The sequence below is a fragment of the Homo sapiens genome, chromosome 9 (assembly GCF_000001405.40).
Source record: "Homo sapiens chromosome 9, GRCh38.p14 Primary Assembly".
Lineage (NCBI taxonomy): Eukaryota > Metazoa > Chordata > Mammalia > Primates > Hominidae > Homo > Homo sapiens.
In genome coordinates this window covers 133,631,396-133,659,336 of record NC_000009.12, presented here as the reverse complement: position 1 = coordinate 133,659,336, position 27,941 = coordinate 133,631,396, and the positions used below count along the sequence as shown (strand labels likewise).

The 27,941-nt window shown below is 56.8% G+C and overlaps 1 protein-coding gene and 1 long non-coding RNA gene across 2 annotated transcripts, besides 2 other annotated features; one reads left to right on the top strand and one right to left on the bottom strand.

The window, feature by feature from the left end:
• On the bottom strand, positions 8 to 22,974 carry DBH (dopamine beta-hydroxylase). The gene is made up of 12 exons (NM_000787.4): positions 22,627 to 22,974; positions 19,345 to 19,491; positions 16,873 to 17,130; positions 15,748 to 15,924; positions 15,017 to 15,119; positions 11,325 to 11,491; positions 7,560 to 7,703; positions 7,053 to 7,091; positions 6,338 to 6,397; positions 2,687 to 2,814; positions 2,108 to 2,267; positions 8 to 1,021 (listed from the first exon to the last, which is right to left on the bottom strand). Exons 1-12 carry the CDS (start codon positions 22,963 to 22,965, stop codon positions 890 to 892), a joined length of 1,854 nt encoding a protein of 617 aa, NP_000778.3. The 5' UTR covers positions 22,966 to 22,974; the 3' UTR covers positions 8 to 889.
• DBH-AS1 (DBH antisense RNA 1) lies at positions 1,929 to 4,750 on the top strand. Its single transcript, NR_102735.1, has 2 exons — positions 1,929 to 2,210; positions 2,800 to 4,750. It is a non-coding gene; the product is annotated as a DBH antisense RNA 1 (long non-coding RNA).
• Positions 4,055 to 4,854: an enhancer, noted in NCBI's record as "H3K27ac-H3K4me1 hESC enhancer chr9:136519605-136520404 (GRCh37/hg19 assembly coordinates)". NCBI's record gives its function as "activates a minimal SCP1, AML or CMV promoter by ChIP-STARR-seq in naive H9 embryonic stem cells {active_cell/tissue: H9 hESC(naive)}" and the evidence as "EXISTENCE:reporter gene assay evidence [ECO:0000049][PMID:30033119]".
• Positions 20,974 to 21,709: an enhancer, noted in NCBI's record as "H3K4me1 hESC enhancer chr9:136502750-136503485 (GRCh37/hg19 assembly coordinates)". NCBI's record gives its function as "activates a minimal SCP1, AML or CMV promoter by ChIP-STARR-seq in naive H9 embryonic stem cells {active_cell/tissue: H9 hESC(naive)}" and the evidence as "EXISTENCE:reporter gene assay evidence [ECO:0000049][PMID:30033119]".

Here is a 27,941-nt window from a genome sequence, read left to right as displayed (position 1 = left end):
CAGTGGGTGCCAGCCCAAGTGTGAGCTTTATTGGCTCATTAGCCCGCACGGCATCAGCCTGGTTTTACAGATGAGAAAAGTGAGGGTCAGGAATGTGAAATGGCCCGCCCAAGGCACACTCCCTAAGTGGCAGAACCACGCGGAAAGCACAGCCCTGACTCCACCCCGGTCTGTTCAGCGCTGGCCCCACCGGCAGAGAAGCAAGCTGGTGCTAATAATTCCACCCCACGTGGAACCGGCGCCCAGAAGCCCCGCTGGATCTTTGCCGCCTCGTCTTTTGGTGATAGTTGTTGTCAGGGCTTCCCTTTAGGTGGGCGAAAATATCTGTTTACTCAGGAATGGAGCAATTTCCCAGGCGAGTCTCTAACTAGCTAAATGCCTGGTCCTGCCTCCGTCGCAGGGAAGCCGCCCACTGTGAAACACGAGCCACTCAGCAGGGAAATGTTTAAGCGGCACCCGCACCCGCTGCACACCGGGAGCAGCGGGGCGGGGGCGGGGGCGTTCCCGGTGATTCCACACCCCGGCCCAGCATGGTGCCTGTCCCAGAAGCCAGGCCACACCCAGTGAGGCGGAACAGGGCTGGCGGAGGGCTGGACCCTGGACCACTGTGCAGGCTGTCCCTGCACTGAGTCAGCCGGGTTTAAATGGACGAGGTCGTGGTCCACTCGGTCCAGGGTAGGTCAACAGGGCACCCACACCCTCTCAGCCATGCAGGGGACCCTGGGGGAAGAAGGCTGGATTGGACCGTGGTCTCAGGCAGGGGCGTGGTCTGGCCCCTTCATCCTGGGCGTGCAGGGCTGTTCCATGGGGATCGTCGCAGAGTAGAGTGCACAGTGCCGGTGTGAGCCCACAGGGACAGCATGGAGGAGGGGGAGGAGTAGGTCCCCCCTCAGCCTTTGCCCCCACCAATGCTGACAACGGTGGGGCCAGCAGGGCTTCGGCCCTGGCTGGTGGGGCACTGTGGGGTGGGCTCTTCCAGTGTGGAGATGACCTTGGGCAGGGGCTGCAGGTTCCATTCACCCTGCAAGGAAGGGGGCAGGAGGTAAACTGAGGCTGGAGGGGCAAGATGGGTGGCTGCTTCCCCAGCCACTTCCCAGCCACCTCTTGGATTCTTGCCCTCAAACTCAGCTTGTCTCAAACTGAACTCACTCTGCTCCCCCAAGTTGCTTTTTGGGGGTCCTCACCTCAGTAAATGCCCCCTCCCCTGGCTTCCCATTCACCTAGTCAGGAACCTGGGAGTCATCCAGGCCTCTCCCCGCCTCTGTCCCCACCCAATTTAATCATTCACCCTAGTGTAGCAACCAGAGCCCCTGGCTGCAGGCTCTGATATTTTTTAGCTATCTCTTCCCCTCAAGGCTACACCAAATGCCAAGTTTTCAACCCCATCAGACGTCCACCCCACACTATTCTCAGCAAGCCAGTATTAGCCCTTCCTTCCCTTGGTGCTGAGGATGTTTGACTTAGCAGTTAATCTGGCTCCCAAATGCTTCTGGGAAGGATCTTCCTGGATCTCCAGGCTGCGGCACCTTACGCGACTAACTCTGCATAGGCCCTGGCCTCCTGACCACAGCCCAGTGGGCCCAGGATAAATTAGATGCCTTCGAATACCAGTGGGTCTCAGATAAGGAGGAAAAAACCAGCTCGCAGCTTCAGACTGGTTCGTTTCTTACCTTCCCCTCCCCTGGTGCTTTATTTTTAGGCAGGTTAGTGCGCCCTGCTCACACCACCTGCATTTGGCATTCGGTACAGTGTGGAGGTGTCACCAGAGAGGGTGCCTGCCCTCCCTTCCTTGCCTCGTTATTGGTTCTCTCTCTCTCCCTCTCTCTCTCTCTCTCTCTCCTCTCTCTCTCCTCTCTCCCTCTCCCTCTCTCCCTCTCCCTCTCTCCTCTCTCTCCTCTCTCTCCTCTCTCTCCTCTCTCTCCTCTCTCCTCTCTCTCTGCTGGCTGGCTGGCTGTCTAGGCCTATGTGTCACCACCTGGCACTTGCTCTCATTGTCTTGTGCGAGTGCTTTTGCCAGCAGTTTGGAGTGCAGACCCATCACCCCTCACTGGGGCCCCCCATGAGGCCTGCCTGACTGCATGCCCCACCCGGGCCCATGGCAGCGCACCTGGAAGCGGACGGCTGAGGACTTGTTGCAGTGCATGGAGATGGGCGCGAAGCTGTACAGGGCCTTCAGTACGTCGCGGTTGAAGGAGTTCCAGGGAACAGAGGTGAACTGCTGAGACACGGACGCCTGAGGGCAGGTGCAGACATCCTCGTTGTTGAACCTGGTGGGGACAAGGAACAGCCAGGCTGGGGAGCAGCTGACGGGCAGGGAGCCCAGTGGGCACCAGCAACACCTCCCTGCAACTCGAGTCCTGTCCCTGGGGCAACCGTCCTGCCACCTCCTCCCCAGCCCCGCTGCCTCCGCCAGGCCACCCCAGATGCTGCCTTCACCGGCAACGGCCTCACCTCTCCTGTCACCTTGGCGGGTGGGTAATGGCTGCTGCAGGCTGGGTTGAGGAGGCTCTGAAGCCAAATCCAGACTCAGCAGGAAACGAGTGAGGGGAGGGGTGAGTGATGCCGCCACAGGTCTCTGCTCCTAGAACTTAGCCTGGACTCCTCCAATCTGCCCAGCCGCCTAACAGGCCCGAGGTTCTGTGTCGGGGTTCCCTGGGGGCAGGGAGCTTGTGCAGGGAGCCCTCACCTGTTGATGAGGTGGAAGTACTTCTGCAGGAAGCCGGCGTCCACAGCGCTCTTGCAGAGCTCCAGCTGCGTCTGGGGGTAGTAGTGCACGTAGTTGACACACATCTCCTCCAGGATCCCGAAGCCCCCCTGCAAGTTGGAGGAGACCCGTCAGCCCCGGGCCATGCCACGCAGACGCTGCCATCCAGCAGCTTTCGCCGCACCCACGTGTACACTGCGTCCACTCGTCTGTTCACTGCACCGTGCCAGGCATGCTCTGGGGAACCGAGTCCCTGCCCTCAAGGAATTGCCACCATTGGCAGGAGAGACAGGCAGTGAGTGAGTGAGTCAACCAGGAAATTCGTATCAGGTACTGATGATGCTGTGAGGAAAAATGAAACGGGACAAGCGGATGGGGTGTTATTGTGCCCATTTTATGGGTACAGAAACTGAGTCTCAGAGCAGGCAAGGGGATGCCCCGTGGTGGCCACAGCATCGGTGGCACAGCCTGAGTGCACCCAGCGTCCCGGCCATTGTCTGGAAGCTGTCCCCATGACCTCCAGCGAGAGCCTGGAGCCAAGGACTGCAAGGGAGGCCCTTTCCACTGCAGCCCCGCACCGTCCACCAGTCATTTCTCCAACGTGGCTCTGAGGGGAGCAGGGACTCTATAAGACAGGACCGTGACTAGAGGCCGCGACAACCTCCAGCCTCTCACGGCAACCCTACGGCCTGCCATCGCATGGGAGGGGCAGGGCAGGCACCCTCTGAGTCCCCACTGCCAGCTTTAAGCCCCTCGCTGGGTTGCTGCTCTTGGAGCTGGTGACCGTGGAGCCTCAGCCATAGGAGGAAGAACAGCAGCAGCTTGGAGGAGCTGGGGCTGGAGAGAGCAAAGCTCCCCCGGCAGCAGCTCAGATCCCAGCAGGTCAGGGGCCGGGACATGACGCCCTGGCCACCCTTGCCCCTCCAGGCTCCCCGCTGTTTGTGAAGCTGCTGTGGGCCTGGGGATTTCATCTGGCTGGTGGGGAAGAAAGGCAATCTTTACTCTATGGCAGAACAAAGGGACTGGGCAAAGCTTGGCGTGGCACTTACACCAGCTGCCGCCCCCTCCTCCCGTGCAGACAAAGAGCATGGGACAGTTCTGCCCAGAGACGAAACCTGGCACCTGTTGGCCAGGACGCGTTTTTGCCAGCATTGTTCTCTGGGCCGGATTCCTCCTTTCCCAGCTTTTCTCATCCATCCCGCCCCCGTCAGATCGGGACGATTGCCCTCCTGTGTGAGTTCCTGTCCCTCCCCACCCTCTGCCACCACAGACATCAAAAGGGAACTGAGTCCGACCCTGTGTAGAATCTGTTCTCCTCTTTCACCTGGGGAAGGAAATCGAATTTCAAAGGCCACTGTGTCTTGGATCAGCAGGCGAGGGCTTGTCAGAGTGTGAGAAGCTCAGGTCCACCTGGGGAGCTGCCCTCCCCTTTGATCCCACCTGGTGCTGTGATGTGGCCACTGCCAAGAGGACGACATGGGCCAGGGAAGCCACAGAACTGCCCACGGGGACGCTGGCACCGAGGGCCTCAACCTGCAGAACGGCCATCTGAGATGTCCGCGGTGCTCACCAGGCCTGGCAGCCCCGAACGCCCTGGGACGTGGCGTCAGTTCCGCCGCCGTGAAGCCAGATTGGGCAGGGAATATGCAGTCTCCTCGCTGGATGCCCGGCAAGACCCTCCCATCCCTGGCCCCGGGGCCGCGCCTGCAGAATGGGGCTGATGGTGGGGACTTGCCTGGGGTGCTCCACCTGCAGAGCCCTCTGTTTGCGAGCCCACTCAGTCACTGCACAGGTGCTTAGCCGAGAGGCGGCACAGTCGGGGTTGGCACCTGCACCCATACCAGCCCTGCCTCCTGTTCGCTGTGTGGCCTGAGTGGCTGGACCTCACTGTATCTCCTGGTGGGATTGCTCAGAGGTCTCAGCAAGGCTTGGTGTGGTTAGGATGAGTTATTAGAGCAGTGCTGAGCTGTGGCAAGCACCCGACATCAGCCACTGCTGTGATATACTGAGCACCTCCTCTAGAGAGAATAAAGGACTGACAAAGCTGTCCTGTCTCCACCCTGAGTTTGTGATCAGGAACCTAGGACACTTGTCACCTGAAATCCAAGGGAGACAGGAAGGGTGGGGTAACAGCTGTGAGGCACAAGACCCTGGGTCAAATCCCAGCTCAGCCATCTATCAGCTGTGTGACTTTGGTCAAGTGCCTGCCCTCTCTGAGCCTTTATGTCTCACCTGTGAAAATACAAACACTGGCTGGGTGCTATGGCTCATGCCTGTAATCCCAGCATGAGGGATTACATGAGGAGTTTGAGACCAGCCTGGCCAACATGGTGAAAATCCATCTCTACTAAAAATACAAAAATTAGCCAGGCGTGGTGGTGGGTGCCTGTAGTCCCAGCTATTCAGGAGGCTGAGGCAGGAGAATCGGTTGAACTCGGGAGGTGGAGGTTGCAGCAAGCTGAGAACACACAGCCTGGGTGACAGAGCGAGACTCCGTCTCAAAAAAAAATAAAATATAAAATAAAATAAAATAAACCACTGGCAGTCTGGGCTCAGTAAACATCAGGTGAATCCACATTGGATTAAAACACAAAGAATAGGGCTGTGACATGGACCTGAGTTCCTGGCGCTGAGGGATGTCAGGGTAGCTGTAACCCAGGTCTGCTCCACTTGAGCCACACAATTCACAGGATAATTATTGGAGACCACCATGGTTACCGAAGCAGCTGGCACGGATCCACTGGCAAGGTGGCCCATTTGCCAGGACAGCCCTGGCTTGTGCCTGGGACCCAGGTAATTGTGAACAGCATCCCCTTTGGCTCCCGGAAGCAGCCCCGCTGCGTGATGCATCACGTGGCTGCCCGTGTCCTGGTGCTGCCTGCATACCCAGCCTTGAAAATAGATCTCTCCAGTGCAGATTCTCCTTGAACTGTCTGCAGTCCAGCCAAAATGCATCCTCAGCTGACGCTCATCCTGCCTGACCCCCACCCATGTCTCCACCCTCTCCTCCTCTCCTTTCCATCCTGAGAATGTTCTTGGTCCTCTGGGCCTTCCCGCACGCAGCCCCTGCACAGAGCCTTCCTTCACCTCCTCCCCTCTCCCCTGGGCTCCATGTGACAGCCACATTTCTGACAAGGCCCTCCCAGGTCCCCGCACCTCTGCCTCCTCAACCTGGTTTTTAAAGTTTTGTTTTGTAATTTTGCTTGTTGTTAGCAGCAGGTGCTCCAGGCCTGTCTCCCTGGTGCACCTTGAGCTCCACGGGGCAAAGGTCAACCTCTTGTCCTACAGCTTCTCCCCACACCAGCCCCGGGTGCTGAGAAGCTTCTTGGTGTGAGTGCTTCTCAACCTTGAGCAGGGGTCAACATCCGCTGGGAGCTTGTTAAAACATGGATTGCCCGATGCCACCGCCTGTGTCTCTGACTCAGTGGGCCTGGGGTGGCACCCAGGAGGTTGCATTCATCCCAAGCTCCCTGGTGATGCTGCCACTGTGGTTCAGGGAGCTGAGAACGACTGGCTTATTGAGGGGACGAGCCCATGCCCTAAGTGAGGAGTCAAGACCTGTCATCCTTCCTCAGATGGCTCAGGCTGAACACTCGCCCTGGGCAGGTGCAGGGGGAAGCGGGGGTGACTTACCACTGTGGCCAGCTCCCGGTCTTCTGTGTTGTACGTGCAGGAGGTGATGAGCACATCTCCCTGAGGAAAAGCCAATGTGACCATCAGCACCTGCCACCTGGCGTTGGCAGGTGCTGGAGGCCTCGCCCCCATAGGACCACGCCACTGTGCATGCCACGGCACCTCTGGGGTACAGTCCCTGTCGTCCACTACAAGGAGCCCAGCAGATTCATGTGCGAAGGTCACAGGCTGAGTGTTCCCGAGCAAGTTATAAACCATCAGCTCCTGTGACCCAGTGGGTCACAACAGGGCCAGGGCCCAGGCCAGTGGGGGTGCAGCTGGTGGGCCATGACACATCTCAAAGGACTTGGGCAAGTCCCCACCGAGGCCTGGGCTTGGCCCTCTGTGGGATCAGGGCTCCACTGCCTGCCTTAGTGCCCTCATCTCCCCCAAACACTCTCGGGTTTGTGGTCGGCCCATCAGACTGAGGACACGCGTCCCCTGGGAGTGTCCTGTCTGCTCCACTCTTTCCAACGTCTCTCCATGAACTCCTGAGTGAGTCTCCCCATGAGGTAGCCCAGCCCAGAGCCACCCACAGGCACCCTCCCCCTGCCCTGGATGGCTCTCCCTCCCCCTATCACTTTCTGTGTCCCTCTCCTTCTGGTGGCACCCCCAGCCCTCTCAGCCACCCCAGCTGGTGGCAGTGAGTGGGACAGCCTTCCCGCTGGGCACTCACCGGATGGACCGACACGACCTTCTTCAACATGCGGATCTCCTGGGGCAGGCAGAGCCGAGGGGTGGGGGAGAGGAGACCTCAGAGAGCTGCAGACCAGACCCCCGGCCACTGTGTCCTCCCTCAGGCCTCCCTGACCTCTGGGGGTGTCCATTTTGCCCCAGCCTCTACAGTGGAAGCCAGAGCCCGCTAAGTGTGGCTTCTGGCCAGGGAGGGCATTAGATTCAAACCAGAAGGTGGTTATCCAAGACCAAGATTGATGTTCCCAGAGGGCCGCCTGGGTCTCCCGAATCCCACCACCATCTGCCATGTGCCAGAGGCCTCCCTACGATCAGACACCAGACACCCAAGTGGGGAGCACAGGCCACATGGGTGGGGGGCGGGTGGGGCTGGCCCAGGAAAAAGAAGCCAGCCTGGAGCCATCCCTATGGTGTCAGGAAACAGTAGACCCAGGAGGTCGTGTGGTGGCAGGGTGTGGGGGCGGGGCAGGGGTGGGGTGCAGGTTCCTACCTGGAAGTGAGGGCTGTAGTGATTGTCCTGGTTCACGATCTCCCACTCCCGGCCGTCCCGGACCAGCACTGTGACCACCTTTCTCCCAGTCAGGTGTGTGTGGAGCTGAGAGGCGAAGATGTGGATCCCGGAGGGAGGCAGTGCCTGTGGGGTCGGGGGGCTGCAGTGTCAGGGCCTGACCCCCGAGGGGACCCTCCCGTCCATGGCCAGGACCCGGTAGGGAGCAGCCACCCTGGGCAGTTTGCTTCCCTGGAACACTTGCATTTTCTAGGTCTTTCTCCCCGGCCAGGTTAGAGCCACCATCAGAAACCTCACGGGGAAGAGCGAGGGGGCCGCAACAGCCCCCAGCTCCCAAAGAAGCAGCCCCTAGTCCCACTCAGGAGCGACTTTCTTTCCGAGTCCTTCATCCTCTCCTGAGCCCCTGAAGCCTGACAGGTTCATCTTCACTCAGTCAACAGGCCTTTAAGGCGAGCCTCCCGTGGACAGGGTGTGGCAAAGCCACCAAGCTGAGCAGCGCGTGGCCTCTGTGCTGAAGAGCTTGCTGTCCAGGGAAAAGCAAGTGGCAGAAGGTGGTACTTGGCAGGTCCCCTACGTGGTGGGCCGAGCAGGACCTTCAGCTGCCCTGCGTTGTGGCTTCCTTTCAGCTTCAAAGCAGCCAAGGCTGCATTCTCCCTGTGCTCAGCATCACCCCGTGCTACAGCTGGGAGCTGTAGCTACAACTGGAAGGTGGTCATCCAGGACCAAGATGGATGTGACCATGGGGTGCTGCAGCTGGACACTCTGAGGCTGCAGGCCGGCCTCACAGAAAAGATGGCAGCCCTCATCTCAAGAGGTCTTATGCCATCACTGGGGCATGAGAGAATCTTCCAGAGAACGAAAGTTTTCTCTAACCTAATGCTAACTTTTTTTAGATAGAAAATGCATTTCCATGGCTGGGCATGGTGGCTCATGCTTGTAATCCCAGCACTTTGGGAGGCTGAGGCACATGGATCATTTGAGGTAAGGAGTTTGAGAATAGTCTGGCCAACATGGTAAAACCCCGCCTCTACTAAAAATACAAAAATTGGCCGGGCATGGTGGCACGTGCCTGTAATCCCAGCTACTCAGGAGGCTGAGACAGGAGAATCACTTGAACCCGGGAGGCAGAGGTTGCAGTGAGCCAAGATTGTGCCATTGCACTGCAGCCTGGGCAACAGGAGCGAAACTCCATCAAAAAAAAAAAAAAAGAAAGGAAGGAAGAAAGAAAAGAGAAGGAAGGAAGGAAGGAAAGAAAGAAAGGAAAGAAAAGAAAGAAAAAGAAAAAGAAAGAAAAAGAAAAGAAAGGAAAGAAAAGAAGGAAAGAAGGAAAGAAAAGAACACGTCTTTCCTGAAATCGAGCATTTTCTTTGTGAGTCAGTTGTCCTTTTGCCCACCCGCTGCCAGGCTCTGCCCAGTTTGTTCATGCAGTCAGCAGGTCCCAGAGCTCAAGGTCCCGACAGCCCCATCCCTGAAGGTCCCAGATGGCCGAGCTTTTTAGGACTCACTTTTGCTCCTTCCCTCTCGCTCCCAAGCAGCGGCCGCCCTGACCTTGCCGTCGCCTATAGCTTTGTGTCCCTTGCAATGGCTTGAGAGGCCACTGTGTGCCAGGCCTGGGAGCCCAAAGGGTCCCAATGCCCCTTTGGCCCCCAGAGGCCGACCCTGGCCCAGAGATGCCAGGTGTCGGCCAGGTGGAGGGAGGACTATGCTCTTCTGGGCACTCTGGTCCAAAGCAGCACTCTTGTCTTGGCCTATTTCACTGGGATAGCTAGACTAGGCCAGATTTTGGCTGCAGAATTTGTGCCCCTCTTTTATCTGCCAAAGGAGAGACAAGACTGAACATTCTCATTCTGTTACTTAAGGTAGTGGAGGACTCTGGCAAGGGGAGGCGGGTCTGTATTCCTGAGGCTGGAGAGAGGCGTTCTCACAGTCAGCGGTCAGCGGGGTCGAAGGCCCCAAGGCCCTGCAAGGGGCAGTGAGTGCTGCCTGGCCGGAAGCCGCTCTTCCCCATGAGCCCTGGCCAAGGTGCCTTTTACATGGGCCCACGCTTCACCAGTGGGCGCTTTAGGGAAGTGGGAGAGAGTGTCCACCCCCGTCTGGGACAAAAGGAGCTGATTTCCTGCCGGAGACAATGGGTGCCATGCCGGCTGAGAGCTCCGTCTCCCTTCAGCCTTGAGGAACCTTTGCTTGGAAGACTGGGATGCTCTGGGGGCTCACCCACATGAAGAACAAATCCCAATCGACCCATTTACTAGGAAGGAAAATCCACTCTAAACCTCATTACAACGAAATCTGCTGTCACGGCCACAGCTTTCAAAGTCAGACAGACTGGTATTTGAATCTTCACTCTGCGTGACTGCTGGCAGTGTGATCCCAGCAAGCCTCAGTCTCCCCATCTGTGAAATGGGTACGTCAACACTTACTTTGCAGGTCACTGTGAGAAGTAAAGCTACCGCACAGGAGGAAATGTTTGTAACATATACACAAACTATGAAATAACATCCATCATATAAGAAGAACTCCTAGAAACCAACAGTAAGAAAAACAAACCACCTACTGGAAAAACCGAGCATAGGAATGAACAGAAAACAGGAACAAATGGCCAAGAGGCAGAGGAAAAGATCCTCAAGTCCACAAATAGAAAATTCAAGTTAAACAACACTGACATGTCTTCCTCCCAAATGACAGAAAATATTTACAATATTAATAATCCAGTGGGTCAGTAAAACCGGGCACCCTCTCGTCCTATGTGTGGGAGGGAGCAGAAGATGGGCTTTCTGAGGGGCATTTTGCAAGATTTACTCAAGGGAACACTCACATCTCTGAGCAGCAATTTCATGCCTAGAAATCTACATGAGAAAATGGTTTCCTACATGGACAAGGATTTCCCAGAAGCTTCTTTCTATTGGTGAAAAGTTGAGAACAGCCTAGACACTGATTGATAGGGAGACAGTTCAGCACAGGCTTGGACCAAGATAGGGCAAGCAAAGGAGGAGATTTTAGTAGTCACTCTCTGAACTCACCAGAAGCCAAGGACAGGACCTGCTGTTGGCGCCAGTCTAAGCGCCAACCTGTGCCTCCACCCAGCGTGCATAGCCCTGAGGACGGGTGCTCCCTGAGATCCTGTACCCGGCACTTCACTGCCTCACCTAGTCCTGCCCTGCTCAGGTGCGTGGTGAAAACCCCATCCTGTGGAATACTATGCAGCAATAAAAAGGCAAATCACCAGAAAAATGCCTCCCATTTGTTGAAAAATTTGTTAACTATTCAATACAACTTTTTAAAAACACAAAAGGTTTCTAACACCTGCAAGAGCTTCCTGAAATATACAGGAAAAAGGTCTGGAAGGACACAAAGAGCCAAGAAGTGGCTATCTCAGGGGGAGGCGGCAGCGGATGAGGGGAGCGTTCTCTTTAGCTGCAGTGCCTGCGCTTGTGAGTGGCAAGTGCATGTGTGTGTTGCTTACATAATGAAGGCATATTTTAAAATGCAGCTCGTGGAAGCCTGGCACGTGGGTGTGGACTAGTGGGAGCCATGGTTATTGCTGGAGAGGGAGGTGCATACACACACAAATGGCCTCTCAGCAGCAGGGTTCCCTTGCATACAGAAAAGAGGGAGGACCGCAGGGGGATTCAGGGTCAGGGGAAACCAAAGCTGTGCCTGCCACCCTTCGTGGGCCACGACCTGCCAGGCCTCCACTGAGGGACGCGGGAGGAGGGAGGGTGCAGTGCCGGGCCCAGCCCCACTCACCAGCTGGGTGCACTTGTCCGTGCAGTAGCCAGTGAGGATGAAGGCGGTCTCCCGTGGTGGAATGGCCATCACTGGCGTGTACACCAGTCCCAGCTCCATGATCCCCGCGTTGAAGCGCCGCAGCTTGGCTGTGTAGTACAAGCGGATGCCTGAGGAGTCGTTTCGTCCTGGGAGAAGGTGGGATGGATGGAGGTGAGCGGTAAGTGGAGGCCCTCTCACTTCCCCCTGCGGACAGATTATCCCTATGACCCCAGCCACCCTCAGCCAGGAGGCAGGGCCGGTCACCCCCCATCTGCTCCCACCTGCTAGGCAGACCAAGAGCTGGCTGTCTTTGTTTCCACACCTGTGGATGCCAGGCAGCTCGCAAGATCAATTAACGCAAACAGGCTACACTCACTGGGAAGAAAGAGCTGCTGTTTCTATGAAAACTAGTTGAATGCTATGGAAAGATGTGATCAACGTGAGCCACTTAAAGCCTCCATGGAATCAGGTGCGGGTGAGATGCTGCTGATAGACGGAAACTCGTAAACAACTTGAGTTCTGTGCTCAGATTGTTTCATAAGTGCTTTGATGTTCTTCTTCCACGTTCAAAGGAACCTAAGCTGGAAATCAGCCTGCAAGACGGTGACAACCTGCAGGGTGTGGTCTGGGCAAAGAAGAGGGCATGGAACTCCCATCTGCCGATGGCACAGAAGAGCCCTGGCCCTGCGTCAAAGCTGGGCAAGTGTGAGTGTATCTCTGTGTTGAGGTTAACAAGAAGCATTCAAGGAGCACATCCTCCCAGCAGCCCCCACTTTTACTACTTTGATTTATGTCCTGCAGACCCAAGGAACCCACCTACCAAGCTGACATCTCAGGAACAATTTGAGTGAGAATGTGGCCCCCCAGGAGGAGGGCCAGCGTTGCAGGTCTAGCCCCCGTTCATGCACAGGCCAGGTCCTGCTTGGTCAACAGCGTGCTGTGTGCTCTCAGATGACTTGCTGTCCCTTTATGAGCCTCAGCCCACACTCAAGGGCCTCTTCCAAAGGAATAACATGGTGCTTCTTCGAGTCACGGAGACTGTGTCTCCTGATTATGGTGTGGCCACACCTGTTAGTTCTCCTTGCCGTTTGCTAATTGGAGAGTCCCTGAAGCTCCCTGGGCCAGCCTCCCAGTGGTCACATGAAACTGATGGTCAGAGGTCCAGGGGGCCGGGCACGGTGGCTCACGCCTTGTAATCCCAGCACTTTGGGAGGCCGAGGTGTGTGGATCACCTGAGGTTGGGAGTTCGAGACCAGCCTGACCAACATGGCGAAACCCTGTCTCTACTAAAAATACAAAAATTAGCCAGGTGTGGTGGCACGCACCTATAATCCCAGCTACTCAGGAGGCTGAGGCAGGAGAATCGCTTGAACCTGGGAGGCGGAGGTTGCATTAAGCTGAGATCGTGCATTGCACTCCAGCCTGGGTGACAGAGTGAGATTTCGTCTCAAAACAAAAAAACAGAGGTTCAGGGATGCTGGCACCCACTCGAACATCCTCACAACCAGGTGTCATCCAGGTAGCCCCACCGTTCCTGAAACTCCATGCCTAGTGAATCAGCAGCCAGGCTCTGAGTACCGGCTGGGCTCATGGTTGGCGGAGGATCTAAAGGCCTGGCCCCATGCCCCCGGATGCATGGTGGACATGGTGGACATGGCGGACATGGCGGGGTGGTCTGGAGGGGCTGTGCAGCAGGAGGCTCTGCCCCCTGGGTTATGTACAGGAAAGGGATGTCAGGCGGCAAGGAGTGTGAAATTGACAAGGGGTTTTAATTCACAGGGAAGAGGCTTCTGATGAAGTTTAAGTAAAAAAACAAACAACAATGAAAAAAAAAGATATAAAATTCTAGTCACAAGAAAAAAATTAATGGGCCAGAAAAGCAGTCAGGACAGACACATAGCTGGGTGACCAGTGCTCACTTCAAAACTTGGAGCCGGGAGCTGGGGGGTGGTTTCATCTTCTTCATGCTTTTCTGCTGTCCATCTTCTCACCAGTGTACATGCATTGCCCTTTCTGATCAAACCAAGAGGGTGGTACAGATACTAACATCTTCCCTGGGTGCCAAAAATGCTCTAAGCATAACCTACCCCTTTCATGGAAGTTTTGCACAGTGAGAATCATCAGCCCTATTTCACAGATTAAGAAACTGAGGATGGAGCCTGAACTGAAGACTCCACACAAGACCACAGGGCTGGGAAGTGGCCAAGCTGAGGTTCAAACCCAGGGCTGTGGACTGGGGTGCAGGGCACTTCCAGGGGGCCCAACCATCTCCCTACTTGTTTCCTTTAAGATGAGGCCAAAACAACTCCTCTTGCCTCTGCCTTCTTCCCTCGACACCCCTACACCATCCAAACTCAAACGGCTCCTGTATCTCCAGGCTGATTACATCAGAGGATAATAATAAAAAGGGTGTTGCAATTGGTTAAAATTCAGATGGGGATTAAATCATGAAATAATTGTGGGATTTTGATATTTATAGAAAAGCAGCCCATCTCAAGATGGGTGAAGTGACAGGAGCGTCCTTATATTTGGCAAAGGATCCATAAATACAACCAGATAATCATGAAGAGACAGACTTCCCTGATGCTTCAGGAGTTTTCAAAAATCCATTTGCTTTCAGGGTTTAAATGAGCAATAAATCCCGTGTCATGCTAAGGCCCAAGCTGACTTATACCCTTCTCTGTGCATGTGGAGATAACTCCAACAGTGGCGGAAGGTATTACTTATGCAGCCAGGAAAAAAAAAAAAAACCACAGGCGACTGTTAGCTGAGCACAGCCCCGTGCCCACAGCAAGTTCTGTGCGTGAGCCTTTCCCAGCTTCACAATAGCTGTGGGAGGTGGGAGAACAGGCAGCGGGTGAGGTCATCCACCCAGCGTCCCCAAGGTGGTGAGGCACAGCCTAGCACCTATCTCTTAGGCCACTTCTGCACCTTGCACAAATGAAAAGAAGAAGCACCATTCAGAGAGAGAGAAAAAGTGTGTGCATGTGTGTGCTTCTGCGTGCATATGTGTACATGTGTGCATGTGTGTGTGCGTGTGTGTGTGCATTGTGTGCGTGTGTGTCTATATATGGTGAAAGATGCTGGTGCAACAGAGAGAGGGAAGTATTTTTTTCAGTTTCTGAGACAGCATCACCTGGCCTTGCCATGCTAAAAGCTGACCCTGCTCACTCCACCCTCAGGTATGGGTGATCCAACAGCAGCTGCCCCAGCTCCCCTTCCCGTCCCTGCACTCTGGCCAGGCCGGAGCGCCTGTGTCCTGGAATATGCCCTGCTTTACTACCACCTCCCTGTTTATGCACACACCTCTCCCTGTATTTGGAACTTGGCATCTGGCAGCTTCCCTTATGAAAATTCTCCTTGTCCTTTCCCCTGGGATGCACAGTGCTGCGCCGATGGCAGCCCGTATTATAGGGACGAGGAGGGAGGTGTGGGGCCACTGCTGGGCCCTGGCGAAGCTGTGAGGAGTGAGCCCCTCGAGGTCCTGTCCCTGGGAGCCCACCACAGCCATGGAAGATGGACAGCGGATGAGGCAGACGCAAGGGCCTCGTGCCAAGAGGAGCTGTACAGCGGGGGCACCATGCTGGGCAGACGAAGGGCGGGATTTGCTCACTGGCTCAACACAGCTGAGTCCTAGGGCTTCTGAGGAGGATGGCAGCAGAGCCGCCTACCTTCTATCACCAGTGGGTTGTGGTAGTGAACTTCCAGGCGGAGATATCTGGAGGACCCTGGACCCCCGAAGGCAAGGCCGGCTTCCTCTGGGTAGTAAAATGCCTGTGTGGGGCAAGGTGTCAGACAGACGGGTGTGTCCTGAGAGGGCCCCAGGTCTGGGCAGGGGCAAACCCAGTCAACTGTTGGGGCCTGAGCCTCAGGGGTGGTGGAGGGGGCGCAGCAGGATTAGAGCGATGCTTCCTCCTGACAGGCAGCTCATTACACGCCCCAGGAACATCCTGTGAGACTCGGGTCAGGGAGTTGGGGAGAGGAGCTGGTGCCTAGGGCTGAGCCTTCCCCCAAAACCCCTTCTCTAGACGGGTGTAAGAGCTGGGGAGACCCCCATCGTCTCAGCCTGTGGAGGCCTCAACACTGGCCCCACCGCCAGCCAGCCCTGGGACCACCTGTACACAAAACCCTGACTCCAGTTGGGAAACAGAATCAGGACCCACTGAGGGCATAAGGTCCTGCGGCACTTGCGTTTCTGTGGAAAATAAAAAAAAGGCTTGAAGCATTTCAGACATCACAGAGGCGAGGGGGCCACCTCAGGCCTGGCCCTTCTGGTGGCCTCGTGAGCCCCCTTGGGAGCCCCTTCTTGAAGCCTCTGAGACGGTGAAGCTGGGGAAACAGAGGTGTGGGGATGCCAGGGGCCCAGGCAGGAGACACCATGCTGGGGTCGCAGGGCACGCACCTTGGCACCCAGGGCCCAGGCGGCCAGCACGTGGCGGCAGTAGTTGAGGCGGTCGGGTTTCATCTTGGAGTCGCAGGGCCCGCTGAAGTGGGGGACGCTGTCCATCTCGGGGGCGCACTGGAAGACTTCCATGTGGTGGACAAGGGCCTCATTGCCCTTGGTGACGATGGGCTCGTACTGTGAGGAGGCAGCCCTCTGAGCCCGGGAACCGGCCGCCCACCCTCCCCTCCCCAGCAGCCCTCCTCCATGGGCTTCCGAATGCCCATCTGTAAAATGGGAGGGATGATCCAGACAATTTCAGGGGCACTTCTGGGGTTCACAGCCTTGAGGGTGGAGCCATCAGCCCAGAAAGAAATCCCGTAGGCAGCTCCAGAGTGAAGGAAATGAGGTTCGTACAGGCCAAGGCAGGGACAGGACGCAGCCGTCCTCATGCATATGGGGCTGTGGCCGGGCCAGCTCCTGCAGCCCCAGTGGGAGGCAGGGCAGCCCTGAGGTTAGAGCCCGGGCCCAAAGCGCACCTTCAAGGCCATGCCTCTTCCTGCTGTGTGACTCTGGACACTCACATAACCTCTCTGAGTGCACCTTCAAGGACATGCCCCTTCTTGCTATGTGACCCTGGACACTCAACCTCCCTGGGCCACACTTCCTCTGCTGGAAACTAGGGGCTCTTATGATGAAGGAGGGATCACCTCGCCCCTCCCCCGGGACTAGTGGCATAGTGGACACTCGACAGCTATCGCCTTTGCTATTCTGTCTTCCCCGGACGGGTGTTCGAGAGCAAGTGAGTTCTGACTCGAGCTGCTTTTTCATGAAGGGGGAGGTGGCCTGGCAGACAGACAGCAGTTCCAGTCCCAAGGAAAGATGCAGAAGTCAAGATGTTGGTCACTTTGGTCCAGGCAGGGAAGTGGGAGCTCCAAGGCCCTTTGAGGGTAGGGGAGTGAGCAGAGTGATGGGGAAGCCAAGACCACTTGCTGCTCCCCTGCTCAGGCAGGTGCCTGAGGTTCCAGTGATAAGAGGACACCTGGTCCAACCAGGACTGTGGACAGCTCTCCAGGGTCAGGGACAACCCAGGCCCGGGAGGAAGGCAGGGCTGGGCGAGGACCTCGGCCCTGGACCCGCACGTACCTTGATAATGTGGTGCCGAGAGAAGCCCTTTGGAAGCTCCTTAATGTAGCACCAGTACGTGGTCTCCTGGCTGGGGATCTGGATATTGGGAGCTTGGACCTCCATGGTGCACGCGTCTGAGGGCAACTCCGGTTCGGGGATATTGGGCTTCAGGAGCTGCACCCTCTGCAGCCCCATCTGCAGGCCCGAGCCGTTGATGGCCTCCAGTGACCGGAACGGCTCCTCCAGGATCCCGTAGACCAAGTGGACAGTGCCGTCCTGCAGCCGAGACAGGGTTCAGCTGGTCGCCCTCTCAGAGCCCCCAGAGTTGGGCTCCTGAGAGGATGCCACATCCCTGCCCACCCACACCTACCAGGTGACACACCTCACTCTCATCTCTGTGAATAAGGGACCCTTGAGGCTTGCATGGCCCTGGCTGGGGCCAAATCCCGGGCTGACGACCCCCAGGATCCCCTATTTGCACCGGCCATCAAATACTTTTCTCTTCTAAACACATTCCACCTACATTCACTTAACATCCATTCAACCAGTGACTACTGGGCCCGCCGTGAGCCAGTGTGGCCGGAACATTTGTTCCCTCCACCAACCCCAAGGTCACTGGGGACTGGGTGTGGGGGATCATTGGTCAGTTCAGCAGCCCAGCCTGAGGATTCAGTGCCCTCTATGAAGGGAAGGAAACACCCTGGGGCTTGCTGATGGTCACGCTGAGCTGCGGAGCCACGCTATATTATGTAGTCACCACCAGCTTGGCAGGAGGGGACCAAGCAGCCACAGAAAGCTCCATGGATCTACGCGGTGCTGGAGGCCACAGGCAGACTCAGGAGGCAAGCTGTGGGGCTGGCTTCCTCACATGCTGTCATGAATGGAAACGGGGATCGGGTGTGGAAAGTGCCTTTCATAGCTTTCTGGGCACTCCACAGTGCAGACCCGTGTGGGTGGCTAATTTGCTCTTTGAGTTTGCGGAAAGCCGATGGGCCGCCCTGTGCAGGGGACGCCCAGAACTCCAGGCAAAGGCCCCTATACCTGGCCTGGGGCCACTGGGCTGAGCACACACAGGCATTGGCCTCCCCCTGTGAGGTGCTTCCAGAGGGTTCTCTGCTCACCCTTGCCTCGTCCACTGGGAAGCAGGGTAAGGGCTCAACAACCTCCTGGAAGAACACCTCTTCTGGCACCAGGTCTGCCCCAGCACACCCCGAACCCCTGGGTACATCCACTCCCCGTCTCCGGGCCTTAGTTTCCTCATCTGGCAAACAGCCAGCTGTTCTGTTTTCTTAGATTCCGTATTTGTCTATTTGGCATCTATTAATGGATTGCAGGCTCAAACAGATGGCCAGAGTTGTTTACACCTGCCCTTCCCTCCAACATTCACGCTTGTGTGAGAATCATATTCCCAACCCTCCAACCCGTCCCAAGCCCATATCCTTAGCCACCTCCTCCACCTGACTGTCACACACCAGGCCAATATTGCCTCAGCCCTAAATCACCCTAGGGCCAGGAACCAGGCAACTAGAGACCACCCCGGCCACCCAGAGCCCACCAGAATTGTCCAAATGAAGCAACTTCCCTGCCCTGCCTGGCCTTTCCCATGGAAACCCCAAGAAAGCCTCAGGCCTGGGCTCTCCCCTAGCTCCTGCATCTGCCTCCTGACCAAACCCAGGGCTCTGCAGGTGGCCCTGCACGGCACAGGTGCCCCTTCTCTCCGGAAATGCAATCAATCTTTCGATGGCACTGGCCTCCCGTGTGGTCACTCAGCTACACCCATGATTAAGACCTGGCACTAACGGCCAGCCCAGGCCACTGCCACACCAAAGGATTACTTACACAAGACAAAAGCTGTCAGGTGTGCTAGAGTTAAAAGAGTTTTGTCTTCAAGGGCAAGGTGGGTTGCTTTCCCTAAGAGGTTGGGGGGCTCTTAGAGCAGCATAAGAAGCCTATGGCTTTTACAATGTTTTATGGCTCCCATGAACTCCCAGAGTTGGTCAGGCCATACAGATCATCTAGTTCCCATCTCCATTTTACAGATGGGCAAAGTGAGGTCCAGAGGAGGGGGGCAGTTGTCCCGAGCCTCACAGCGAGCTGGCAACAGGGCCGGGATGGAAAGCCAGGTCGCCTGGGCTCCAGAATCCCACCTGATGGTTAACAGGACCAGGAGGAGAGAGACATCCAGAAGCAAGGTCTAGTCCAATGGGAGAGGCTTCAGCACAAGCCCCGCATCTAGAAACCATGTCAGCTACGTGTTGGCAAAGAGCTGCGTCTTTGAGGGCTCAGGGGCAATAGCAGAGCTGGACCATCCTAAGTGCTTTGGCCCCACCACTGCCTCTGGCCATCCTCCTTGGCTTTCTCTCTGTCATAGCTGGCCAGGCCCAGGCCCCAGACTTATCAGGGACAGGAAAGGTACTATGACATTGGCACAGGATGGCAGCATGATACACGCAGCCCACGCCCTCCTGGGTACTCGCGGCCACCCCTTACTTCAATGAGGTAATCCTTGGGGTCGCAGGTGCCAAAGGGCCTCTTGAAAAGCAGGGTCAGGCCTTCTGGGGTCCTCTGCACCTGCAGCAGCTGGTAGTCCTGCTGGGGATCCAGGTGGATCTGCCCCTTCTGGTCACTCCAGGCGTCCTGCAGAGACAAGCACTGGGCTCCAGGCATGAAGGAGCCAAGCCGGGCCAATCCACAGGGGAAGAGGGCATTCCCCGGCAGAGCTCCGCATTCATTGCCAGCTGATCTGGGGATGCTGGGCCTCAGTCCCTGTGGATCTGAGGGTTCTGCCTGGGGCTGTGGCTTCACTCACACCTTCTATCTCCATTTCTGCCTGGAGACAGTGGAGATGAGCCCCGACAGTGGAGTTGGTTCCTCCTCTGCAGCCAGGAACCAGGGCTGTCACTTGCCAGCAGGTCACAGGTTCTGTTAGCCATGGGCATTCCCGGGCCTGGCGGGCGGGACACTGAGCTTCTTAAGAAGATGCCTGAGGCTCCCAAGGCCTCCTCAAGACTGGGAACAATGCCTCAGACCAATGCTGCCCACATTCATGCAGGCAGGAGAGTTGCGGAGCCTCAGAAAGGGGAGAGTTGGGAACAGGGTGGGACATGAACAGGAAAGGAGAGAGAAACCAGGGTGCCACATCTAAGATGGTGATTGATAGCAGGTGCCCACCCTGCACTGGCACAACCCTGAGAACAAGCACTGCTTTATTACTTTATAAATACATGTAATTTTGGATTTTTTTTTTTTTTTTTTTGAGATAGGGTCTCGCTATGTTGCCTAGGCTGGTCCTGAACTCCTGGCCTCAAGCGGTCCTCCTGCCTTGCCCTCCCAAAGTGCTGGAATTACAGGCATGAGCCACCACACCCAGCCTGAAGCACCACTTTAAACCCTGCAGCCTAGGCATTGTTCCCCTCACCTTAGTCCCAGCCCTGCTTGGAGAAGGTAAACTGAGGCCCAGGGAGGCATTGGACCTGCTGCATTCTCCGAGGATGCTTCCTGGGATCTGGATCAGTGACCTCTGCCCTCCCCGTCTCCGGCCGCTCCCCTTGCACTGGGCCCTAAGGGGCAGGGACACGGTGGCCCGAGGCCAGGTCACATGGAAGACCACCAGGGAGACCCACTGAGAGACAGCGAGGAGCCTTCCCCAACAAGCAGGCTGCCCTTCGTACTCAAGAAGGGCCCTTCTTAGATTCCATATTTGTCTATTTGGCATCTATTAATTGATTGAAGGCTCAAACAGATGGTCAGAGTTGTTTACACCTGTCCTGCCCTCCAACATTCACACGTGTGTGAGAATCATATTCCTAACATTCCGACCCACACCAAGCCCATATCCCTAGCTACCTCCTCCACCTGACTCTCACACCCCAGGCCAATATTGCCCCAACCCTAAAACACCCTAGGGCCAGGAACCAGGCAACTAGAGACCACCCCAGCCACCCAGAGCCCACCAGAATTGTCCAAACGAAGCTGCTTCCCTGCCCTGCCTGGCCTTTCCCATGGAAACCCCAAGAAAGCCTCGGGCCCTTGGCCTTAAGGACTTTGGGTTGTGTTTCTTTTTAATCTTACATTCAGGGTAAAACATCTTTTCTTCATTTCCTTGAGAAAAAAGAAATCTGCAAAAGATACTGCAAAACTTTCCCTAGAGAAAAAAGCCACACAATGCAACCCCGCTGGGGACACCGCTGGTTTGCCGAGAGACTCATTTTAAACAGAGGCAGAAAGTTCGCCTGTGATATTTCAGCTGGAAATCAAGAAGATATTAGTTGAACATATTGCTTAGGGAGGAATAATAAGGCTGACATTTGCTTTCGTAGGAATTTGTTGTGCAAATTAACCTTGCCAGTGCACGGAAAGGCAAAGTCACCTGGCTTCCTCTGGCTTCCCTAGCAGCCGGGAAATGCAGGCAGGGGGGACGCTGCCCCAGAGAGGAGCAAATGCTCCTGCACTCAGGGTGCCTCATGGCAGAGGCTTGCGAAGAACCCCAAACTGTCAGCGATGGGGTTCAGCTGCTCCTCCAGACGGCTGACGGCTCAGAATCAGGGCTGTCCCAGGTCTTTCTTGGCTGGAACCTGAGCCACAGAGTGTCTTTGTGCACAGGAATCTGTGCAGCCCTATGGGTCAGAGCAGGGCCCTTCCCAGGCAGCTCCACTCACCCTACCTGGGTGGCCCTAAGCCTCACTAGCGACACAGGCAAGTGCCTCCTGGCCGAGTCTTGGGAATTGGAGGGGGCAAGCTCAGCTCCAGAAACAGCAGCCACCATCTGCCCTCATGAATTCACAACACCCAAAAAGGCAGAGAGGGACTCTCCGCCCCACCAGCCCATGGTGAGACCAAGATGCAGAGCTGGAGCCGGCCGCTCCGCACAGACACAGCTCCCCCGCTCCAGCTCGGCACTCCCAGATAAAGCAGGCACCTCCTGACTTCAGAAATAAAACTTTTTTGTCACTCCTTTGTGTGTTTCTGTGGAGAGAGTTGGGTTTCATCCACAAAGAAGCCCTGGTGGCCAGTCCCATGTGGAAAGGAAGGCTGGAGCAGGACCCATTGTAGGCGGTGGGCTCGCCCACTTCGGGGACCCCCTGCAGCTTGTGGAAGGGCCTAAAGTCCCCTCCAGTTTGAAGGGAAACTTTTCCCCTTTCTCCACCCTGTGAAACAAGAGTGGAGGTAAATTTGGACGGAAAGGAGTCAAGAGCCCATCCTAACAGTTTTGGCTGAGCCCTGTGGGGCTTGTTCAACACCTATGGGTAGGGGCAGGGTGTCTGCACCTGCTCAGTTGGTCCACGGGTACAAGCACAGTAGGTCAGGCTGGATCCCATGGGTGTGCAGGCCTCATGCTGTGCCCAGCCACGCGCCACCACCTGGCCCACATCAGTGGGCATGTGTGCTCTGGGGACGTGGTACTAGGCATTGTTTACAGGGCCGAGGGTCGTGGGGTCTGTGCTCATGCGCGTGTGGGGTGTGGAGCGGCACGAGTGTGTGTGGTGTGTGCGTCCTCTGTGTATAGTTCCATTCCTTGGGATTACTGGGTCCCATGATTTGGGGCGGGCAGTCAAGGACCATGGAAAGCATGTCTTTCCTATTTTGTCCTCAAACTGAGATCCCCATGATGCCCAAGCTCGGGGTGCAGACTTGGCTCAGAGCAGAGTCAACTCAAACACTGACAGGTGACAGAAGAACTTTCTGGGTTAAGGAGGGTGAGTGCAGAAAGACGGCCAGATGGGGTGCCGGGTCAGGAAGGGTTTGGAGAGCTGGCAGGGAGGAGAGACTCACCGCAAAATAGGCAGTGTCCCCATCGGTCCAGAGCACCACGAGATCTGCGTTCTCAAGCTCGCCACGGTCGGACATCCCAAACAGGACGCCAGCCTTGAGCCTCCGCACCAGGAGCTGGAAATGGATGGCCTCCTGGGTGTAGCTGACATTCCATGAGAGCTCCAGGGACCCCTCCGGGTCCAGGGGGATGTGATAGGGGAGGGGGCTCTCACGGGGAGCCGAGCCCTGCAGTGCGGCCACCAGGATGACCAGGAAGATGGCCACTGCTGTGCTGTACATGAAGGCTGCCTCCCGCATGCTGGGGCCGGGCAGGCTGGCCCAGCGACTGAGGGCGGGCATGGCTGGGGTGAGCTCTCTGGTCCCACCTGGCCATTTATGCCCTGGTCCTGAATGGGGTGGGTCCAGGCAGCACGGGTAATCACATTTGTCTAGCGGGGAATCCAATTTTCCCTCCCACAAGCTTGCGCCCCAGGCCAAGCACTCAGCCTGCTGCCCTCCTCTAATTGGCACTAATGACACATGGACGTCATCAGTGGGAGTTGAAGTAGACAGGCGGATGCTGTCCCTTCTGAGATGGCTCTGAAGAGCTGTCCCAAAAGCAGATGCACCCTGCAGCCAAGAGGCCTTTCAGACACCCTCTGGCCAGGCACCAGCTGACTGCCTCACAGGCTGTCTGGCCCAGTCCCCAGTGGGATGGGGTCTGCGTCGCCTCTACCCACGGATGAGCAGACTGAGGTCCGAGGAGCTGCTCCAGGCTGACCAGTGAAGGATAGGCCCGTAGCCACTGCAGGCCTGGCCTAGCGAGCAGAGCCGTTTGTACAATACTAGCAGGTGGGCCCATTTCAAACCAAAAATAAGACAATCTCCAAATAGTCCCTGTGTTTAGACACTCTCTCCACGGCCTGCTCTTCCCACTTTTGTCTCCTCTCAATTTTTCCACAGCCTCCAGCTGGTACCACTGCTGCTCCAGAAGGCGCGAGAGCATCATAGGGAGTGGGGGACATGGGCGTGGGGTGCATTGCTGGGGACAGACGGAGCTGGAGCTGCACAGGGGATAGGCAGGCTGCAGGGTGCACTGCTGGGGGTGACAGCCTTTAAGGAAAAGAGGGTGAGTGACAGGCCTGCTCCCCTGTCTCTGAAGCTCCCAAACCCACAGCTTCCTCTTGCCCAGAGCAGATCTGGCCTGAATTTGAAGCCTCTCAGGGCAGCTGGCCGCAGCCCTGCTTCTCCCACACCTGCCACAGGACCTTTGCCATCATCCACCCGTGGGCCCGAGGGTCAGTCTCACCACGGCACCTCTCCCTCCTGTCCTCTCCCACAAGTAGACTGAGGGCAGCTGCCTTCAGGACATTCTGCTTGATCCCTCCAGCTCCACCCCCCAGGCTGGGTTGACAGATCTCTCCAGCTGGACTAGAAGCTGTCCCTCCTCCCCAGCCTCCTCCCTCCCTTCCTTCCTTTTCCCTCCTGTTTCTCGTCTCTCTGGAGAAACCCAGAATCTAGCCTTAGGGGCACATTCATGTCATAGGCTGACAGCAACATTTAGGTCCTTAAATACCCATGACAGCAGGTCTGGAGGCTGCTTCAGCTCTGAGCTCTACGCTGTAGAAAGGAATGACTGTGTCTTTGCACGAACGTGAAATTTGGAGAAAGTGCCAGCCTTCCCCTGGCCCTCGCAGGCAGTGCTCTCTGCCCCACAGTGGCCAGGCCATCCTGCAAAGCCAAGCTCAGGCCATGAGCCCCTCCCCACTGATTGCACCCAGAGGGGCACCGTTCGCCCCCACCCACAGCCCAGGCAGGTGAGGTCCAAGTGCATAATCACCTGTGCAATAGAGTGTGGCATTGGTGTGAAATTGTCTCCCAGGCCAGGGGAAAGACACTCTTGGGAGTTCTCTGGTGAGCCTTGGGAAGGGTCTCAGCCTCCGAAGGCCTGGCTTTCCCATCAGGACATGCCACCTCCGTCGCCTGAGAGCACCTCACCTTCATGCCTCAGATTAGTTCCAAAACCTCCTCACCTGTGCCTTGTAAGCAGGTGTCTGCTGCATCCCGGACATTCACTCTCGGGACTGGGGAGCGGCCACAGCGAGCCGGTGATACGAAGAGCCTCCGGGGTGGGCAGGCACTGGTGTTCCCAGCACGGGATAACAAAAGCCAGCAGAGGCAGAGGTGAGGGTCACGGGCTCCACAGCACACCCAGCTCAGGGGTGAGCCCTCCCAGCAGCCTGGTGGCCACCCAGGTGGCTCCAGCTAGACAACAGGCTAAACGAGCACCAGCTGGGGCCCGCGTTGTGGGAAGGGGGGCACCTCTCTCCCCTCTGGGGTATTGAGGCCCCAGGCACCCCTCCTGCTCCTCCGGGGTCAGAGCTCTGGGGTCATATCCTGCTCCGCCCTCCTGAATGCGCAGCTGGCGTCCTCAGAGAAGCGCTTTCCAACCCAGCGCCTCCTCCCCATCTACAGACACAGGAAGTTGGATGACAAGGACAATTGATCCCTCCAGCTTCCTTCAACCCAGCGGTTCTGTGGAGCGAGAGGCAGTGAAGAGCCCCTGATGCTACCAGCCCTTGGACGGCTCAACACACCTCCAGGCCTCGCTCCTCTCCCGGATACGCCAAAGACCAACAGCTGCTGGGAGCTCTAAGGAGGGACGGCAGGTGCGGTCTCGTGCTCAGCAGTGTTATGCACACATGTTTATTTTTAACAGGAATCAAAGACATTTTCTTTATCCAACTCAAAACTGGCTTTCCTCTAGCATTTGACAGAAATGATTCAGCTGATTCCAAAATACTGATAACTAAGTCCTAGGGAGGGACAGGAGACACAAGTCAGGCCGCACCAGGGCTTCCCCTGCCCTGCCTCCATCCTGGCCAGCCTTGGGTGGCTGGGTGTGCGATCATCCCTGTCTCAGACACAGGAGAGTCAGCCTCGGAGAGGCGAGACAATGCGCCTGAGCTCACAGGGTGGGCCAGTGCCTGGGGCAAGCACCCCAAAGAGGGTGCCCTGAGCTGGAGGGGGCTGCACACCTTGTCAGCCAAGGTCAGAAAAATTCCACTGGAGTCAAGAGGAAGGGACGCTCAAATGAAAAATGCAACCGCAGAGAAAATCTGCGGAGACTGGGGCCGGGCGGGAGGGAGCGAATCCAATCGGATGGCCCCGTGGCTGCGCCCTTCCTTGCATTAATGGATTTTAAAAGGGAGCAATCCGACCCCAGGGTAAGGAAGCAACAGTCAGCTCTCCTCCTGCCCTCACCCTCCTCAGAGGTGACACCTGCTTGCCAGGTGCTCTCTTGGCCACATGCCTCCCTGTGGTGCCCCGCGGGGGGCTTTCCTCCCTGCTCCCACCCCTGCTGCCTCTGCTCCAGTGTCTGGGTGCACGTTGCCCTCCAGAGGTGGCGGTGGGGGTGGGGATGGGAATGGGGGTGGGAGTGGGGTTGGGGGTGGGGTAGGCCGGGGAGGTGCAGGGTGTCACGGCCACGGTGTCAGGAAATAAGCCCCATTCCTGCTGCTCAGCGCCTGGCTTCCCTCCAAGGCGCATCGACGGCTGACCTTGTTTAGAACCAATTTCAGCTTTTTAATAAGCCCTTTGCTTTCCTGAATCTCTCTGATGCCATCAGCCTTTGCAGGCTGTAATTCCCCATCGCCTCTGCCACATGAGGCTGGCTTCTGCTGACGTCCTAACCTCAGGCAGTGACAACCCCAAGTGGAGCGACGGTGGTGCAGACTGGAGCTGGGTGAGTGAACAGGCCAGGCCACTCCCCAGTGACAACGGGGCCTGGCCACAGGACAGCACTGTCCCTCGCCTGTGGCTCAGGCTCTTAGGGACCTCCTCTTGGCAGGAAAAATTCAACTATCAGTCTGATGGCAGTGCCTAGACCTGACTTGTGATGGGATGGATTGGGAGCTGCTGGGAGACGGTGACTCTGTCCATCACAGAGCCCACTCCAGGGTGGCACAGTCCCCTTGGGGAACTTGGGGCAGCTGGCCTATGTCCCTCCTCGTCCTGAGCATAGGGGCTGCGGTATGAAAGTTAAGAGGCACATTCTGGGCTGGGCACAGTGACTCATACCTCTATAATCCCAGGACTTTAGGAGGCAAAGACGGGAGGATTGCTTGAACCCAGGAGTTCGAGACCAGCCTGGGGAACATAGCATGACCCAGTCTCTACCAAAATAAAAATAAAAACAAATTAGCCAGGCATAGTGGCACAAGACTGTAGTCCCAGCTACTCGGGAGGCTGAGGCGGGAGGATCGCTTGAGCCCAGGAGTTTGAGGCTGCAATGAGCCCTGACTACACCACTGCACTCCAGCCTGAATGACAGCGAACAACCCTGTCTCAAAACAAACAAACAAAAAGCATATCCTGCCTGAGGAGGCAGCGGTGGCACCATGCCTCTGCCTCTGCTCATAAGCGTAGGTGGCCGTGAGAGTTTGAATGCTTGGGATATCCCATGGCCTGAGGTGTCCAGGGCCTGGGGCACTGAGTAGGGTGGCTACAGTGGGATCAGCATGAGGACTGGGCCCAGGGCAGGTCACAGAGGTGCCCAGAGCACCACTGAAAGCTTTCCTCAGCTACTGGATTAGAGGCACCCTCTGGCCCTGAAGCTCTGTGCCAAAAGCAAGGGGCCACTGATCCCAGAAGGGGTCGGTATCGTGAGCCCCAGTGACACTCCCCTGGAAGCTCCCAGGGAAGCAGAACCCAGGAGTCTGTGGCTGGCTCCAGGGCTGGGGCTGCCAGGCCTGCCAGGCCACTCCTGTGTGACCCCAAGCAGCCCCACTGTGAGCAAGTCCTCCACTGTCACTGGCAGGCGGCTGGCCTGGGCAGGACACAGCCTCCCCCGCCTCCATCTCTCCTCCATACACAGGGGTCAGCGAGATGGGGAGGTGGACTCTCACACCTGCGTGGCCTGCACCCCCAGCTCTGGGCTCATGCTCACATACTCAGTTTTACACACACACACACACACACACACCCCTCCAATAATTTGGCCTCAATCTTGGGGCTGAGGCCTGCTGGGCCCTGAGGAATCTTACAGGGAAACCCTTTCTGGGTCCTGCTTCTCCTTTTCTCCATAAGGATGCGTGACTGCTCCTCTCTCTTGAGCAGCTCATGGGGGGAGGTGCATGTGCCTGATTTTTGCATTTTCAGCTTTTCTGAAGGGACCACACTGCCAGGATGGTGGTGGGTCCTGAGGCAGTAGCTCCAGACCACACCCAAGCCACAGCGTAACTGTGGGCACCAGATGGAAAGAGAGGCCCTGAAACCTGCCGGCCATGTGACCCACCCGGACAGTCCCCACAGCCCTGAGCCTTCTTTCCTCATCT

Bases quoted from the DNA above. Each gene is read 5' to 3' on its own strand.
- DBH (NM_000787.4), bottom strand. From the start codon at position 22,965: ATGCCCGCCCTCAGTCGCTGGGCCAGCCTGCCCGGCCCCAGCATGCGG. The intron at 15,120-15,747 runs GTGCGTGCCCTG...TGCCCCACACAG, and splicing joins CCTGGGCCCTGGGTGCCAAG to GCATTTTACTACCCAGAGGA. The intron at 2,268-2,686 runs GTGAGGGCTCCC...TGTCCCCACCAG, and splicing joins TACTTCCACCTCATCAACAG to GTTCAACAACGAGGATGTCT.